This window comes from Homo sapiens, chromosome 1 (genome assembly GCF_000001405.40).
Source record: "Homo sapiens chromosome 1, GRCh38.p14 Primary Assembly".
NCBI lineage: Eukaryota > Metazoa > Chordata > Mammalia > Primates > Hominidae > Homo > Homo sapiens.
Genome location: NC_000001.11, coordinates 152,327,212 through 152,347,167, shown reverse-complemented (window position 1 = coordinate 152,347,167; position 19,956 = coordinate 152,327,212). Strand labels below are relative to the sequence as shown.

Below are 19,956 nucleotides of genomic sequence, written 5' to 3'. Positions count from 1 at the left end.
GGTATCCTGAATAAACGTTAATGTGCCTTTATTGTATGTGTGTGTAAATATGTATATGTGTATATATAAATATATAGGTTATGTACATAAATGACCCCCATAATCCCTTAACCACACCCATTTGAAATTTAAATGTAATATATTCCACATTGCTAAAACTCTCAATAATATGTTTTAATCAAATAGGGGGCAATTGTTCCTTATAAATTACACCAGAAGTATTAAATAACTCAAAAAGAGTTACACATCTCCCTTCTAAGATAAAAGGAAAGATAAAAATGAGACATCAGGTATGGTCTACAAAGAAAAAGTTCAAAACTGGGGTGCCCCCATGTGAAACCTCTGTGAACAGTTGAATTTCTTAGATGCTAGAAAGAGAAGTGTCATAGGTACATACCGTTAGATATTTCCCCTCTACTACCATCTGTGTGCTAGCAACCTGTAGGTAAAGCATTTCTGTGCCAAGAAATACCCAGTGATGTCAAACCATGGCTGAGACTGTCATGGAGAGTACATGGCACTGAAGAGGAACTCTGGGTGGCCAAAATGGGAGGAAAGAAAGATAAAATTCCTCTTCTTACAAACTTTCTAGATAAAGATGACCTTTGGATGAGGGAAATTGAAGGTCAGTTTGTAGCAGACACACTGCATGCACTTGCTGTTCTGTTAGAGTGTAATACATAGTCCCTGTGTTCCAAGAGTCCTTGATAACCAGAGAAGACTTTCTAATACTACATGCTGAGTACAACCTTTGTGGAGCACTCTAACACAATCAAAGGTGGGTATGTAAACTGTGGGGAAATGAGCAAGAAAAAGTAGAAAATCTTTAAAAAGTAAAGATTGAGGCAATTCTGGATTTGGTTGGAAATTAATCAAGCGAGCAGACAGAAGCTTCCTCTCTAATAATGATTTGACACAATTAAAAGGCCACTAACTCAGGCTTTGAAACTGGTTTTAAGCAACATCTTACTGAATCTTTGGAAAACATGGTAAGTGAAAGTGAGTGAAACTCTCCTTAAAAGTGCATAGAATTACCAGTAGAAGTTCACAAGTATATTTTTTGCATTATAAAGCCATCTAACACAAAGAAGTATGAAATTTGCAAGGAAAAACATGTTCATTTTCTAAAGATTGTTTAGATATGTTAAGTTGTCTCATATTATTCTTTTCATTTCCCCACAATGTACAATTAATAAAAATCTTATGTTGTCTTACTTTCTACAAATAAAGTGCAGTAATTAGGAAAAGGATGAAATGGAGGAACAGCCTCTGGTTCCAAATCACTTAGATGTGTTTCTGGCTTTACCACTTTCTCTAGAATTAAAGTTTTAAGAATTGGCAGGTTATCCGTTTTTAATTAGAACATAGAAATGAAGGGTGGGAGAGGCAGTTTCCTATACTGAGGCTATTAGAGAAGAGGAAATATAGAGAGACCCTAAAATTCACAAATAGGGTGATCTGCTTTGGCTACAAGAACAAAATTTAAGGAGCTCAAGAACTTACATACAAGTACAGACAGATTATCCCTAGCTTAAAGTCATTACTTCAAGATTCCTCTGAGGCTGATTAAGAAACAACAACAAACAAAAAAATCTGTATCAAATCTACTGGTTGCTGCTTTCTAAAACTTGGTACAAAATATTCAATATTTGTGTTATTTATTCCACTCTGGATTAAAAAAAGAAAATTAAAATTTACTGAATGCCTACTCACTATGTTTCAGACACTTGCTCTAAAACAACCTTGCAAGTAAAAAATTAACCATACCTTACAGACAAAATTGAGGATCATGGAGGTTAAAAAAAAATCCTAACAGAGAATACACATCAAATGTTACTTTCCCTCACTTTCTTTCCTCTAAAAATCACTTTATGCTTCCTCTTTTAGAATCAATAGACTAGATAGGTAGATCGATGATAGGTGATAGAGATAGATAGATGACAGATAGACTAATAGATAGATAATAGACTTCAAATATATTTTTAAAATTTTTAAATGTTAAAATATTCTCCATACCTCACTCAGTAGTATCATTCTTTATTTTTTGTCAAGAGGGCTTTAATAGGACAGTAGTTCAACCCTTCTTCTTCCTTAAATTCTCAAGATGACATTTTGTCAGCTCTGATGTTGTTTGTTGCCTTGCTAGGCTAGCTGAATGTCTTAAAAACCAATCAACCAGTAAACAAATAAAATCATGTCTCATCCAAACTAATTTTTTTCAGGTAGCATTAAAAAATGTATTAGAGCCTGCAATTGTTTCCATTTGGTGCAATTTCAGAGGCTAGACAAGGGTTATGTTTTCTCCCAAAGTGTACCACATAGGCTCTAGATTTGAATATTTGCAGATTAGGGGAATACCCAATAGGCTTCATTTTCCAGCAACATTACTAGTTCCTACTGCCAGTTCCTACTGCTCTTTTCTTTACAATACTTGCCCCATTCTTCCTAATACCTTTCCTGACTAGTTTTGTCAGGGCTGAAAGAACAGATGGTTGAGCTCCACCTATGTGTGACCAAACATTCATATTTCTACAGCTCTCCTGCAACATATAATCCAAGAATGTGGGCTAGGCTGATTAGTAATCTCTCTATGATTATTTTAATGACAGAATCCAGATGATGCAGATAATATGGGTGTTGTCAGTGCAACATTAGGGTCACTCTTTCACTCATCTATTCATTGGAGGGAAGTTAATAACAACTTAAATGACAGATAATGTACTTGATACTGAAATTAGAAATAGAAGACATTGTCCCTGTTCCTTTCTTTATATGTTCATCAAGGAGACCAACATATGAGAAAACAACAGATATGAATGCTGTGGCAAGTACTATAATAGACATGATCAAATAAGACATAATCAAGGAACTATTATTGATCACGTCAATTATAGCACTTGCCACAGTATGATCAGTATGCGAAACTGCCTCTCCCACACTTCATTTCTATGTTCTAATTAAGAACTGAAAATTTGCCAATTCTGTTTAATTCTAGAAAAATTTGGTAAAGCCAGAAACACATCTAAGTAATTTGGAACCAGAGGGTGATCCTCTGTTTTCAGTAAAGTGATCAACTAACCCTGATTAAAGGTGAAGAAAGGATTCAGAGAAATCTTAAGGAAAGAGGAGAATTTGCAGTGGGTCTCCAGAGATGGTCAGGAGTTATTCAGGTTTATCTGAGGAGACTAACTACTCCAGGCTTTTGTTAAGTGTACGTAAAGTCTTAAAGTAAGAAAGACCATAGTGAGCTCAGGGAACCTGAAAATAATCCAGCATAGCTAAGACATAGGTTGTATGTGGAAGCATAGCAAGAAATGATGTTGGAGTAATAGGCATGGGAAGACTGTAAAATGAAAATAAAGATAAGTTTCTTTGGAATCTTTTGTAGCAAGTTAAATATGAATAAAAATTAAGATACTATGGAAAATTGTTAACTTTTTATTTAAAATTGCATAAATGGTATGATTCCATTGTGTTAAATAAATTTTGTCTAACTCTCCATCCAGCTGCATACAAAGAAATCTGAAATAATGTTTTCCAGAAGTTAACACTGATTATTTCTATATGATGGAATCCGTGATGATTTGTTGCTGTCTTCTATTACAATTTTCTGTATTGCTTGACTATTTTATAATTAAGGAGCATTCATTCTTTCAAATTTAAAAAGTCACTAAAATAAAATATAAACGAACGCATATGTTTACACTCACACAAAGTATAGACAGAGAGACTTCGGAGCAAAAGAACATGATCCAGATAGACAAAGAATAATTCCTGCTCCAGGGAACTGGGAAAACAAGGTCATTCAGGCAAACAAAGAGAGGTCAGATCAAGAAGAAATGTGTCGTCAAAGTCATACAATAGAGCGAGACTTAAGCTTAGGTTATTCTGCTGGAAGGAGGCAAAGTGTTAACACGATCAGAGAGTACAGTTAAAAAGAAGATCTAACTGGGGTGGAGATCCAAGCATTTTTATGAAAAACTCCCAAATGGAATTATTTTGTGTGGCAGATCTCCAAGCTTTGGTCAGCATTTCTGGCATATAGGATCAGTTTTCTATTATGAATTTGGCTCTTGTCAGCCTTCTAGCTAAAAAATATGATTGCAAAAAAGTCCATTTCACTTAGAGAAAAAAGTTAAAAGTTATTCATAAAAACAAGAGATTGAGCATGATGACAATGTCCAGGATGAAGGTAAACCATAGTTTTCTCCGTATTTTTTATCCATTTAATGAACAATTATTTCTACAGAGAAGTAATTCTCAGTAGAATCAGCAGAAGTGATTCTTGAGGATTTCTGCCTCAAGTCCCCTTTTTGCTCTTAAAAATTACTGAGAAACATGAAGAGCTTTTGTTTATGGGGATTATGTCTACCAATATTTTCCATATTAGAAACTAAAACTGAGAAGTTTTTAAAGTATTTATTCATTTAACAAGTCCATTACATATTAACATACCATATTTTTATTAAAATGTAACTATTTTTAGAAAACAATTAATGAGAAGAGTGGCATTGTTTTACACTTTTGAAAATCTCATTGATGTCTAGCTTAATAGAAGACAACTGGATTATAGTACCTAGTTCTGCCTTCCAGCTGTTGTGACATCACACATCTAGAAAACTCTACTGGATACTTGTAAGAGAATGAAAATTAAAAAGACAAATAATATCTTAGTATTATGATGAAAGTAGTTTTTACTTCACATGCACCCCAAGACTACATATTGAGAACCATGGCTATAGAAAATTCTAGTAAGACCTTTAAAAAGTGTAACTCTATTATTTTTTGCAAGGTCTTTAATAAGCATTCTAGGCCTTGGACCCTCTAGGTGAGAAAAAAAGATAAAAAGTGAGGAATATGAGGCCAAATTTTGGAAGAAACTAACATTGATTGAATGCCTATCATTTTCCAGGTTTTGGACAAAGCTGAGTTTCTACTGGTTTTCTCAGAACTCAAAGAATTTTCCAGCCTTAATCACTGACTATTTCAAAGTTTATCACCTTCCTCCAATGAGCTAAAAAAATCACAGGCCTAGCCTACTGGCTTAGGGATTTAAACTTGCTGTTGTAACACCAATAAATTCCACCTCAGCTCTTTTTTTAAAAAATTATCTGTTGTTTGTTTACTCTGTGCCAGACAGTGGTAAAGGGCTTTACATGAATTATTCCATTTAATAATCATATTAACTTTGGTAATCAAATATATATTTTATAGTTGATGAAACTTGATAACTGTTTTTTGTTTTGTGTTTAGGAGTTTGATAAATGGAAAGAGAAACAGGACAGGGCAAAAAAAGAGCCTCAAGCCTCAAGGATTACTTTTAACAGAAGTTCACAGCTGAAAGGTCACTGAAGATCATCTAGGTCAATGGCTCTTAACCTTTTGCTGTTTTCTTGTTCCGGAACTATTTGAGCATCCCTCTCCTAAATGCCCTTCCCCTCAAAAAAATGCGGAGACCCACTTACAAATGTTTCCTTATAATTTCAGGGACTTTACAGACCTTTCAAAGTACACTCATAGATATTGCCAGGTTAGGAACCCCATGATATTCCCTTTATATTTCATCTGAAAAAAGTGAATTCCAGTGTCACACAACCAATAGATGTCAACTGTTAATCAGAACAACACTGCATACCATATCCCAGACCAGGGCTTTTCCTACCACCTCATGTTGTCTTTTGGAAATAGAACCAAAGGGAAATGGGTTAGTGTAGGTGTAGCGGAAGTTAAAGGAGGACTTAATATGAGAGCCCATCTTTTTAAGTGTTATCAATGTTTTTTCTTATTTTTTAATATAGACACGTTACATAAACATGCACCAGGTATGGTGGCTCAGAGGCCATGGCAGAAGGATTCCTTGAGGGCAGGAGTTTGAGACCAGTCTGGGCAATGAAGTGAGAACCTGTCTATACACACACAAAAAAATAAAAAAATTAGCTGGGTTTGGTGGACTGTACCTGTTGTCCCAGCTACTTGGGAGGCTGAGGTGGGAGAAGCACTTGAGCCCAGAAGTTGAAGGCTGCAGTGAGCTATGATGGTGCCACTGTTCTCCAGCTTGGGCAACAGAGTGAGACCCAGTCTCTAAATACAAACAAACAGACATGCAAGCCTGCTAGTAAAATAAGCCAATATATTACTGTAAATAAATAAAATTGTCATCAAAACTATTCTCCTATTAATTATATGCATGAAAATTACTGAACACATCATTATTAGTTCATACCATGCATTCATTCAACAAAAACATGCCGCAAATAAAAAACGTTTTAAAAATTGATTTTAATTATGAAATGATACAGAAATATATTCTTCCTTTGAAAAATTAGAATATTTGTAGATATATGCTACAGCCTCCTCTGACCTTCATCCCAAATCCAATAACTTCTTTTCTGTACCCAGGAATAATCACTGAGGAATAGGGCTTGATTCTTTCCAGAAAACTTAAAGATATTTTTATAGACATGTGTGTACACACAGAAAACACCTAACATTTAGTGTACATTTTTAAGTGGTATGTTTAAGTGAGAATGCAGATATCTCTTCAACACCAATTTTAATTCCTTTGGCTATACACTCAGAAGTGAAGTTGATGGCTCATATTGTAATTCCATTTTTTTTTAAAGACCCCCATACATTTTCCAAACTGACTCAGACAACTGGTCATCTTAACATGCTGTATTTCACAATTTATTCAGATTTTCTTTTATATCCTTTTGTAAGTTTTTTTCCTATAAAAGTATTTCACTTTTTCATTAGGTTTATTTGGGGGTTTATTTTTGTTGTTAATACAAATGGAATTTTTCTATCATATTTTTGAATTGGTGATTTCTATTGTATAGGAAGCTGTGAACGTATTCATTCTGATTGTGTATTTGACTATCTTGCTGCACTCTTATTATCTTTGAATGTTTGTCAATTAATTTTGGGGGGTTCATTTTGTCTGAAACTGATGAACAAATTATCTTTCTTTCAACATTGATTCCACATTTCTAAATTATTTATTGCGGTAAGATACACATAATATAAAATTTATCATTTTAATCATTCTTGGTGTACCATTAAGTAGCATTAGTACATACATATTGTTGTGTAACAGTCAAAACCTTCCATTTCCAGAAATTTTACATCTTCCCAAGCTGAAACTCTGTATCCATTCAACAATAATCCTCCATTCTCCCTTTCCATCAGCAGCCATCATTTTCTTTTCTGTTTCAATGAATTTGACTACTCTAGGTACCTTATCTAAGTGAAGTCATACAACATTTGTCCTTTTGTGTCTGGCTTCTTTTGCTTGGCATAATTTCTTCAAGACCCAACTGTGTTGTAGCATGTATTGGAATGCCATTCCTTTTTAAGGTTGGATAATATTTCATTGTATGTAAATACCACATTTTGTTTATCCATTAACAAAACGGACATTTAGGCTGTTTCCACCTTTTGGCTATTGTCGATAACACTGCTATGAACGTGGGTCAAAAAGTATCTGTCCAAATCCCTGCTTTCAATTGTTTTGGATAACTACCCAGAAGTGGAATTGCTACCTCATTTCTTATTGATTAGGACTATCTAAATATTAGTACTCATAGTAGGCATCCTTGTCTTCTTTCTGACTTCAATGACATTGTTCTAATGTTTCAGTATTTGAAGTAGAGTATAATGTTTGCTATAGATTTCTGTTAGATAGCCAATATCAGATTAAGAAAGTTCCCTTCTATTCCTAATTTGCTGAAAAGTTCTACTACAAATGAGTTTAAAATTTTATCAAATGTCTTGTTCAATCTACTGAAAGGATTATATGTTTTTTTCACTTATTTTTAAATGATATTAATTGATTTTCAAAAGTTAAACAGATCTTGGAATCTTTTGGTAAACTCTATTTGGGAAATAAATTTGGGACACTCCTGGAATTGATATGCTAATATTTTATTAGGATATTTGCATTCTGTGTTCATAAGTGAAATTAATCTATAGTTTTATGTTCTTGGGCTTTCACTATCTAATTTTTGTACCTGACAAAATTGGTTGGGAAATTTTCATTCTTTTCTGTGCACTGGAATAGTTCATGCAAAATGTGGATTTCTTAAAGGTTTGGTAGATCTAGCTAAAACTAGTGGGTGGGCCTCCTGACTTTGGAGTTTGAAACAGTCAGTCTTTCATGGTTGAAAATAGAAAGTCAGATATAGATTCCTTGGCAATTGACATTTTCTTACTAACTTATCCATTTTGTGTTGATTTCAACATTACTGGTACTTAGTTGTTTATAATATTCAATTTTTTCAGCTTTTTGAAGGGATAACTGACAATAATATTCTATTTTTAAATCATTAGTTTATCTGTAGTTATTTTTGTTACTTTTTACTGCTCTTTAACCCTTTGCAAAAGGTTGCAAAATATATTATGCCTTTAATTACCAAAACACTTTACCTTTAATTCTATTTTAATCTGCTGTTAACTGCATTAGTGTTTGCCTGCCATATCTTTTACATCCTTCTCTTTTAATCTTTACTTTGTCATTTGTTTTAGGTGTGTTTTTAATAAACAATATATAGTCAAATATGGGTTGTTTATTTATTTAATTGGAGTTTATCTGTTAATAGAAAAAATCAGCCAATCATTGCCTTTAAAAAAAATTTAAACAACCTATAGAAAAGGCAAAGTATGAAACAGGATGGCAGAAATACTATGTTAGTTAAATGAACATAATTAAAATAACATAATTTCAAAAATGTAAATAGCCTAAACTAATGAAATAACAGAGACATTTATAGTTGATAAAAACTACAAAAAAGATTCAACATGTTGTCTACAAAATACATGCTTAATAATTATATACATATTATATATAATTACATATATAATCATATATAATTAATTCAGATTGATAACAGGATGCAAAAACTATTAAAAATCACATAACCTATCTTTAAAATTTGTCACATTAATATACTAAAAAAATTAAAATAACATGTTCATCTCAATGCAGGAAATACATTTGACAAATCTCAATGCATATCAAAGATAAAAACTCATACTAGAAATAAATGGAAATTTATTAATATATCAAAAAATACAGTATACCTTATAATTAATGAAGAAATCTTAGAGGCATTCCCTTCAGAAACAAAATCAGGAGCAATATCATTATTAGTGTTTGCCATAGTGGGGTGCCCTGCCCTATGCTATAAGGAAAGAAAGAGAAATAAATACATTGGTAGAAAAAAAAAAAGAAAACAAATGACATTATTTGCAGGTAAGATAATATGACTCTCTAGCTAGAAAAAAGCACCTAATCAACAAAGTATTACAACTAATAAGATAATTCAGCAAGTTTATCAGAAACAATCAAGTTACAAAAATTAAAAGCACTTTTCTCTCCAACAATAACCAATTACAAAATGTATTTAAAAATAAGATATCATTCAGAACAGCAACAAAAAATGTTAAATAACTAGAAAATAATGACAACATATAATACTTCCATGGAGAAAATTTTTAAATCTAATAAATGACATAGAAGATTATCTGAATAAATGGAGTGACATTCCATATCTTGGGGGAGATGACTTAATATTATAAACATGTCAGTTCATATTAATCTATACATTCAACACAATCACAAATACTTCAAAATATTTGTGTTGAATTTCTTGAGAAGTTCAATAACCTCAAGTTTTTATGGAAGAATAAAGATCCACGAACAGGTAAGTCAACATTTCAAGAAAAAGGCAAAGAATGGGTACTTGCCCTTCCAAGTATTAAGACATACTACACAGTCAAGTAATAATAACAATGTGATATTATTGCAATGACAAAAAGATCAGTGAAACATGATAAGGAGCTTAGAAATTAAGTATGTTTATATGGGAACTTAATATATAGTAAAGTGGGTACCATATATCAATGGGAAAAGGGCAGATTAATAGAAGGAGTTGCAAACCTGGCTCATGCCATAGATAAAAACAAAATTGGATATTTACCTAAAGTCACATACAAAGATAGACTGCAAATGAAATAAATATCTGAATGTGAAGCTTAAAACAACAAAGTAAAGAGAAGAAAATATGGGAAAATACCTTAGTAATCTCAGCACAGGAAAGAACATTGTAGATAGAACTTTACAGGCACACATAATACAAAACTAGTGATGACTTTTATTACATCATAATTAAAGATTTCTGTTCAGTGAAAGACACCACGAACAAAGTTAACAGAGAGAAGACACATTGAAATTATTTGCAGTGTCTAAAAATAACAATGTACTAACGTCTAGAACATACAATGAACTTCTTAAAGTAAAAAAGAAAATTAACAGAAAAATGGACAAAGTATTTGAACAGGCAATGTATAGAATAGGGTAATCAAAATGGCTTACAAATATACATAAAGATGTTCAAACTCATGGATAAGGGAAATCAAAATCAAAATAACAGTGAAATGAGCTGGAAAAAGTTAGGAAACTAGATATTGCTAGGTGTTGGCTGGGATGTGGGTTTAGGAAATCTCATGTACTCCTGGTAAGAAAGTAAAGCTGTTCTGGAGAGTTATCTGACAGTATCTAGTCAATATCAAGTATACATATAGCCTACCACCCAGAAATTCTACTTCTGTGTTTATGACCCCCAAAAATGTCTCCCAGAGATCCATAATGGACATATGTAAGAGGATGTTCGTCGCAGCATTATTTTTAGTGCTGAGGAATTAATTAGAAGCAATTTGAGTGTTCATCACCAGGGAAGTGCAGAGGTATACTGAGTAGATGCAAAACAACAGCACAATTAGAAGCAATGGACTAGACTTACATACTGCAACATGGATACTAAATGAAAAAAAAAGGTAAAAAAAAGAATGAGATCTAAAAAAAATAGCACTTACATAAAAGTAAAACTCTATGAACATAAAAGTAACAATAGATACTTTACAAACACCTGTACAAGTTAAGCCATATACAGTAAACTCATTAGAATAATTTATCTGTTGAGGGAGGAGGAGAGGACTGGGAATAAAGAATGGGGATGAAAGTTAACCAACTCTTCCACAGAAGAGTCTGCATAGCTCAATAATTACAATGTGCCATGAAATAAGGAATATGATTAACTCACATCTCTATACCTAGGATTTAAAAAAAAAATTGATATCCTGAGTGCTGATGGTCTCAAGTCAGCAAAAACTCTGGGGCCAAAGTCTATGAATGGTTAATTTTGCAAGCTCACATAACTGTCTGCTACAATAGAATATCCTTGGTGAAAGCATAGGAGAGAATAAAAGGGCTGAGACCTAAGAACAAACAGATTCTGGATTTCTGACTTCAGAAGACAAAGGAAAAGAAAGACAAGGAAAATTGAATCATTTTCTAGAGGGGTGTTAACTTAAAAATTACACAATTTATAAATTTTGAAAGGAAAGTTATATTTCTCATAGAGGGTTACAGTTGCAAAGTTGACAGGCAAATTCTGACAAGCTGGGAAGCCTGGCCTCTGGCTGACGCCAGAAAGGCAGGTACTTCAAAAGAGGAGGGATTGGGATAGGAACTTTATGCTGAATGGGTTGACTAAACATATTCAATGGATTACAGAAGGAGCCATGAATATTCGTGGTCCTCCTAATGCACACATACTGAATAAATGTACATATTACATCTGACCAATGTTCACCTTGGGGTGGAGACTTAACATTTAAATATATTATAATAAGGCTTTATAAGGTCGTTTCAGGACACAAACGCACTCACGTATGCAGCCTTTGTAAACTGGCCAGAATCCGTCCACGGTCGGTGGTCTTCTTATCAGGAGAAAGTTATTGAAATAGCCTCTCGTCTAATCAAAGCTGTAGCTATAGTTTGTGAAACAGGGGGATGGAGTCAGTGTCTGGCAGTGAATGAGCTACAAATTGTTTTCATATTGCTTACCTGAAGGCCAGTGCTTGTTTAGCTGCTGAAGAAAAATAGAAACCTTATGGCATTTAGAACATAGTTTATTCTTTAAGTGCAGAAGTGTGTGACTTAACCCTTGACTGGCATGGTCTTAGCTCCTGTTTACAATTTGGTATCTTACTGCCACAAAGAGTCTGTTCTATCAGTCTTACATTCTCTATTTTCACATCAATGCTGGCCAGTTGTGTCTAAACACTGCAAAAGGGAGGGTATATAACAAGATATGTCTGACTTCCTGAGCCATCATGGCTGGGAACTCAGTTTTTAAGATTTATCTAGGGTCCATTTGGCCAAGATTGGGGTGGGGAGGGTCTGTTCAGTCAGTTGAGGGCTTTAAGATTTATTTTTAGTTTACAGGAGGAACCATGTTCAGACTACCAAATAGTTTCCAATGCTGAGCAGGGCTAGGGCCACAGACACACACTCCTGTTTCCATAGAAATTCCTCAGGCAGGCCTCATGTACTTAGCCAGGACCCTGCTCTTGCCCCCAAAGGAATTTATCCTTTTAAAAGTATAATATTCCTCTTATCTGACTGTTCTACTGCACAGTGGGGTAACCACAGTTAACAATATCATATACTATATTTCAAAATAGCTATTAATAGAAGAGAGAATTTTGAATATTCTCACCATAAAGAAATGACAAATGTTTGAAGTGATTGATATGCTAATTACCCTGATTTGATCATTACATAATGTAAACATGTATAGAAACATCACTTAAATATAAACATGCACAATTACTAGATGTCAGTTAAAAACAAAATAAAACTTAGAAAAGTATAATGTGATGATACTGGTTCAGGGATCTGATCTTTAATCCGAAGGAAAAGAGGAGACATGAAAGAACTGAGGGGAGGGCTTGTTATTCCTCTTCCTCCCCTTTCTCTATTACCACCCTTGCATTAACATGCCCCTGGTTATCTTGCTATGTTTTTTATATTTATTATGAATGCAGAACACAGCAAAAAGTAAATAGCAATTATATCAGTTCTAATTCTGCTTCAAGTAATAGAACAACTCAAAGCTTATTAAATTAAAGGGAGAATGTATTGGTTCACGTAATTGAAAAGTCTTGAAATGGGGCTAGCAGGCTGTACTCACTCCAAGGCTCAAAGTATATCATCAAGATTGGGTGAGTCTCTCAATCTCTCAGCTCTGCTTTTCCCTCTGTTGACTACAGTTTTGACATGTAGTCATGAGATGGCTGCAGCAGCTTGGCCTACATTCTTCCCTGTTCAAATCTCAAGGTGCAGGGGCCAAGGGGTTGGGGGGAGAGGTGGAGGAGGAATGCTATGTCTTTATTGGTAGTTCACACAATAGTCCTGAGATTCACTCTGCCTTAGACATCCCAGGTCACATGCTTACCCATCCCTGTCCACTAACATCCAAGCAACATCTTCACCCTCATAAGTCAAAGATAAACTCACCCCCTCACCCTGACCACAAGGAGTAAGAATGGGCAATGGTTGGATTCTTAAATGAAAATCAGGGACTGTTGCCAGAAAAAAAAAAAAGTGGAATGTATACAATGGAGGAAAACAATAAATGTACTAGAGCAATTTTTGCTACTTTTTTTGTAGTATTTGTATTCAACATTCAATATTCTCCTGAAGCTACTCTTTTCCTAAAACAGATGAAAACCTTCTCCCCGATCTTCTAGAGATGATCACACTGAACCCTAAAGGACATTTAAAAACCTCCATAATCACACAGAGAGGGACTCAATTAAAAAAAATTCTTGGAAAAGAAAAAGGAAAAGATGTATGTTTCTTGCTCTTCTCTCTTGATGGAAACAAACACACATGCAAAAATTCAATTGCAATAAGTGTCTCATATTGAGTTTACCAATTCTGTAAGACTTCATAGTTATATAAAACTAATAATTACCATTTACTGAATACCTTGCTATCATGCTAGGCAAAGTGTCAGACCATTGACATATAATTCATTTAATATACTGAAGAACTATCAAAATGAAGTATTATTATCTTTACTCTATAGATGAGGAAACAGACCCAGAAAGGTTAAGAAATTTGCTCAAAGTCATAGAGCTGGCAACTGGAGGAGCCAGTAGTCAAAGGCAAGTCTGTGAGGTGTGTGAGATTGTGCTCTCAACACTACACCATGGATTTTGTGATCTTGGCTCTAATTAGGGGGCCAATATGGTGGACATGGTGTTATTTGAATTTAACCATTTTTCATATCTCATATGAAAAGTTCCTAGAATTAAAAATTTCATGAAGAAAACAAAAAATAGCTGAGGATTTCTAGATGCATACTGTGAAAAGAAATGCAAATATTAATAGTAACCATGTTCTATGAATTAGTTTAAGCATATACATGAAATGCTGTTAGAGTACACGTTGCAAGAGTAACTAACTGATGGCCTGATTAGAAAAATGATAGAATGAGGTAAAGAAAGAGGTAGATTCTGGGAAATATGGATTAAAATGATGAAACAAAAAATGAGAAAAAAACTACCTTACCTTCTCAAGTATTGCCATAGAAGAGCAGAAGTCATCCTGAGCAAAGCTAAAGGCAAAAAACCTAGGCTCCAGACTGATACACTGGCTTGATAATCCACACTGTGAGATGTCACCAAAAGTTGTCTGATCCAGCTGTGGGGACTTGGCTCCAAGTTGTCTGGATATCCTAAAATAATATAAATCCCTTGAAACAAGTGCTCTAAGAAATGGAGGAAGCCATACTTTAGGGAATGCTGATAAAATGAGTGGAAATGTTGGTGGTGTGAGTCCACCTCTACCTCAACAAGGTCACCACTGATGTGAGAATCCATGAGGTTAACAAAAACGAGCATCATTAGTCTCATAAATTAACACTTGAAGGACTTTGGAGCCTTGGGTCTCAGTGATTCTTCTGGAAATATGGTAGTTTAGGGTCTTTAATAATTTTTTTAACTTTTGTTATGAGCAGAAATTGTAAATAACATGTAAATACAACTCCAGAGTGGTTCTGATGTTCACCTTCTGAACTCATCTAGTTCTCAAACTACTAGATTATGCAACCCTTGTGCTCCTACAGCTAAACCACATATACTATTCTGAGCCCTCCCCTAACTACACCTGGGTAAGAGGAGTGTGGTGTAGTCTGGTGTTGTGCTATACCAATAGTCATGGAGATATCAATCAAACATCTGCCTAATCTACAAGGTGTAGGTGGTGAATTATGAAGAATGAGTAACCAGGAGACTTACGATGAGAGAATAAAGTCTAAGTTGATAAAAAGTTAGTGCTGAGTAGATAGAGGGGTCTTCAGGAATTGGAAGCTTGGTGAGGGTCCCCATCATCCAGAATAAGTACTGGTCTTCAGCAGGAAGAATTTAAGAATAGAAGTTACCTAAAGCTCATGAATTAGTATCAGTTCAATTATGCTGGTAATCTGATTTTGATCTTTCTCAGTTATGATAAAAGTCTCTGCCTGGTCATGATATAAACCTTCTTTGTTCTTTAGTCTTCCCTACTTACAAGATTAAAGTCCTGGCCTAAAATATGAGCCCTAAGGTCCTGCTACCTAGTGACATGATATTGTTGATACCAACTCTCCATTACCCACTGCCTACTGAAATCTCCTATTCCTGCCTTCTCCATCATTGAGTTCTGTCCACCTGTCAGAGTCTACTTCATTGGGTTGCCCTCCCTAACCTGCCCAACACCAACTGCTTGCCAGGCCGCTAACCTATTCCCTCTTGTTCTGCACCTTCTCTCATAGTCCACTTCCAATGCATCACCAAGATCTGCCTCTAAAATGTATCTTCTCTTCAATCCCACTGCCAATGCCTTAGTTTGAGATTTTACTATCTCTTCCTTCTTTTATATAAATTGCCTGTATCCAGCTCAATCCGCCATCCATACTTCCAGTAGTTACATTTACTGAATGAAAATCTGGTCCTGTCACTTTTCCACTTAAAAACCCTTCAGTTGCCACCCAATATAAATAATATATACATCACTTAGAGGCTTCCAAGGCTTCCAAGCCCTTTCCATATGACCTTTCAGGCCTGCCTCTCCCTGATCTTTCCCATACAATCCAATAAGTGCTTTTATTGTTCTTTAATGTTCTTTAATGTCCTTTAATGTTCAGCTCAAATATTACCTCCCCTTGACCTCTCTAAAAGAAAACAGCTTGCTTCCTCAAGTAAAGCTATTTACTAATACCTAAGGTATTCCTAAAGGTATTTACAAATACCTTTATTATAACACATATCATACTGTTTATATGTATGCTTTCTTCATTAGATTATAAACTCTTGGAGGACAAGGAGCATGCCTTCTTCATTTACAGTTCTGTGACAAGCATGGTGACTGGCAAGTAGTCACTGGCAAGAAATGTTTCTTGAATGAATAAATGATCCCTAAATACTGTGACCTATCTCTTAGTCTGAATTTCCCTCAGTTACCTGCAGAAATTTTCCCTCTGGAATATATTCTTGTTTATCTATCTGTCTACCTGTCTGTCTGTCTGTCTATTCTATCTATCTATAATCTCCCTATATACAAAGGAAACAGGTGAGAAAGGAGAGTAGAAGCTTATTTCAAGTTCCAGTCCCTCCTGATCTACATTCTCCTGTAATTATTAGCCTATGTTACCATGTCTGAACAGAAAATATTGGTGATGCCCTTGATCATGAATAGCTATCATGTCTCTGTTCTGGCTTGCTCCTGGATTTTTTTTTTTCCAGTTTCATGATGCTGCATCACTCTGTCACCAGTCCTCACTGTTCGTTTCTATGGAACATGAAATGGTGAATGGTCCATCCTTTACTGCTGATACTAGTCATTGCTGAAACAGCCACCCTAAAGATCTCACAGTCTCTCTGTTTATAAACATTTAAGAGTCAAGTCATGAAGGCTTTCTCCCTTAACTACATGGGATGATCAGTTGTTTTATCTGTTATTTTTTCTGTTATTACTTTTGTCCTTAATTGTTAGAGAAAACTTTCATATAACACAGTTACTACATAAATGCCCCCTCCCTTCACATCTTAGAATGCCTCTGGCCATCTCTGTAGTTGTACTTGAGAGGTTTAATAAAGTACCATAAGTTTGGGAAAATTAGCTTTATTGATATAAGCACTTCCTGGAGAATATTTCTTCACTATACAAAAAGCTCATATTTGATCATTGTTTTCTCTATATCTGTCTATCTCTCTCACATACATTCTGAGTGCCTGTGTGTGTGTGTGTGTCCCCAGTGACTTCTGCATCTGTAGTAGCTGGAATAACATGTGTGTCACATGTACCCCCACCACACACACACACACACACACACCTCTGCCACGGGCTTCGTTCAATTCTATTCTCAATTTCCAACCTTGTCAGCCATCTTGATTTCCTCTTCTCCAAACCTCAAAGAAACTGTTAATGAGTACCCGAGAATGAAAATGTTGGGCATATGGAAAAACTGAAAGACAATCCATATTGCCATAAAATGGCCTGCTTTTATCTGGAAAAGCCTTATTATCACTCACACTCATTCCTTCTACATCCTTTACCTCCTTCTCTTTGTCTTTCTGTCTGTCTCTCATTCTGTCTCTATCACACACACACACACAACACACACAGAGAGAGAGAGAGGGAGAGAGAGAGAGAGAGAGAGAGAAAGAGAGACTGGCTATAAAGAAAGCAGCATCTGAGGGCATCAATGGTAATTCGAACATTTTGTTTGCTTGGGATCAAGATTCCTTTCCATCACCATTGTCCTGGCAAATATAAGCTGCAAGTGGAAGTGTTTTAGCCAGATACTGCTCCACCACTCTATGGCTAACTAAGCAGGAATATCAGCTTCAACTATGCCATGGAATTCAAGAGAATATTCAACCTGGAAAAATTCTAACCCCAAACAGCACCTCCCAAAAGATGACTACAGCTCCTGTAGGAAATCATTTAACCACAAATTCCAACTCCCCTTCACTCCTACAGCCTCAGTCACACATCTCAAAGGGCTGATCCTTGAATTGTGACAACCTGACCCACATCAGCAGCCCAGAGGCCAGATGGCAACACAATGCCTTTCCAGCCTACTGGGTAGGAAAAGGGAGGGACAAGCAATTGAATGATTATAATTGAAATCCTGTAATTTATTATTTGTCAATAACTCCTGCCTTGGGGGAGTTCCCTTCACTCCTTAGCAAATGCTGGCAGCCGCAATATGTGACCACAGACACCTAAAACACCACTGAAAGCATTTCATTATGTGGCAACAATGATATGGAGAATAAGATCTCTCTGGAGATAAGAAGACATGCCACATCTCAGAGTTCACTATTCAACAGCAAAGAATTTGAATAGGGGGAAAAATTCCTTAGACTTAGGGGGAAAAATTCCTGAGATTCTGAGGGTAAAAAGCTAGCATGCAAGTGGGATCAGCCAGACTGGCAGGAAGTGGGGCATGAAAACCCAAGAACTATCCTCCTGTTTGCAGTATAATGTTACCCCTGCAGTTATTAAACTGCACAGATCAAATAACTATTTGAACTGAGCTGAGCTGAGTCAAGCAAAGAAATGTACTTCAATCATAGAATAGTAGCTGTCAGGTTGAAAAGGGCATCTATCAGACATCTACCCAATGTTCCTCTACCTAACTCCCATCCTAATTATCCCTGTCTCATGTTCATCTCCCTGTAATTGATGCAACCTGATGCAACATAAAGAGGATTTGGAGTGAAAAGCCCTGAGTTGGAGGCCTGGGCCTTGACTTTTTAATTTACTAGCCATACCACATTGGTCCTTCTAGTCTTCAGCTACAATGTGAGCAGATTAAACTAGTTGATGCCAAGATTCCATCCAGTTCAAAATTCTCTAGGCAATAATAGGGAACTCACTATCTCCAAAAATAATTATTTGCATGTTTGGACAATTCTATTAAAAAGTCGTCACTTACATAAAGCCAAAACATGGTTTCTTATAGTTTCTACATATTTATCTGAGTTCTACCTGCCTTGAGATTATATAGTCCAAGTATAATCCCTCTTCTATATAACAGCCACTCATATAGCCAAAGACAGATATTGCATCTCCCATCCATCTATCCATCCATCCATCCATCCATCCATCCCACTGAGTTCTGTTTGCCACTCATCTAGACAATCATTCTATCTACTTTACTCAGAACACATACCAATTTGTCCATATCCTTACTGAAAAATGGTCATCAGAACTGAACAAAGAGCTACAGAAATAGTTTGATAAATGCTGAGCCAAGTACCTCACCACCTATTTTGTTCCAGCTAATGTGTTTATTTTAATGCAGCCTAATATCACATTATCTTTTTGGCTATGGCATCACTCTGCCACTGCCACAATATTGCTTTTTTTACTCATGTCTTCTACCCTATCCTTGTAAAGTGTAATTTGGAACTGGAGTCAGAATTTTACTTTTTCAATAATATTCATTTATCAGATTTGAGCCATTGGTGCAACATGATAAAATCTTCTTGAATCCTCAGTCTATCCTAAAAATATTTGCCATCTATCCAAATTTTCACCTAAGTTATTGATAAAATACAATGAGCACAACATGGTCAGGAAAAAAGTCCTAGAGCAGACCACTAAACAATACCCTCCATATTGACATAATTCTGCAAGATTTGGGGTCTTTTGGCCCCAAAGAAGGTCATATCCAAGATTGCCTCATTCTTGACACTCTCTCAATGCTACCTTCTTCACTCACTCATAGTCCATGGTCTAGTCTTTCTGCTGATCCTGCAATGATTTCCACAGTTAAGTTCACCCAGACATAGGTACTTTGAGAGAAATCACTGTTTAAAACATTAAAAATATAAATAAGGTTAACAAAAAAAGGATAAAAGTTCACACCCAGAACAATATGCCATGGTGGAAATAATGTGGGAGTTGGAGTCTGAATAACCTCAGATTAAATCCTAGTTCTGTAACTTACTTGCTTGGTGACCTTGGGTGCCTTATCAGTATCAGTTCCCTCATCTCTAAAATAGAGGAATAATAATGACCTCAAAGGGTTGTCCTGATGATTAAAATTAATACAC

At 35.3% G+C, this 19,956-nt stretch overlaps 1 long non-coding RNA gene across 7 annotated transcripts in view; it reads right to left on the bottom strand.

Moving 5' to 3' along the window:
- CCDST (cervical cancer associated DHX9 suppressive transcript) overlaps positions 1-19,956 on the bottom strand; it is a 177,390-nt gene that overhangs the window by 19,525 nt on the left and 137,909 nt on the right. For 6 of the 7 annotated variants that reach the window (NR_186761.1, NR_186764.1, NR_186763.1 and 3 more), the window contains 4 exons: positions 14,420-14,585; positions 11,729-11,829; positions 9,079-9,179; positions 5,958-6,081 (listed from right to left, as the gene is read on the bottom strand). This is a non-coding gene — a long non-coding RNA (cervical cancer associated DHX9 suppressive transcript). Of the gene's footprint in view, positions 1-5,957; positions 6,082-9,078; positions 9,180-10,073; positions 10,101-11,728; positions 11,830-14,419; positions 14,586-19,956 lie in introns of those variants that run through there. The other variant, NR_103779.1, reaches the window with a different exon arrangement.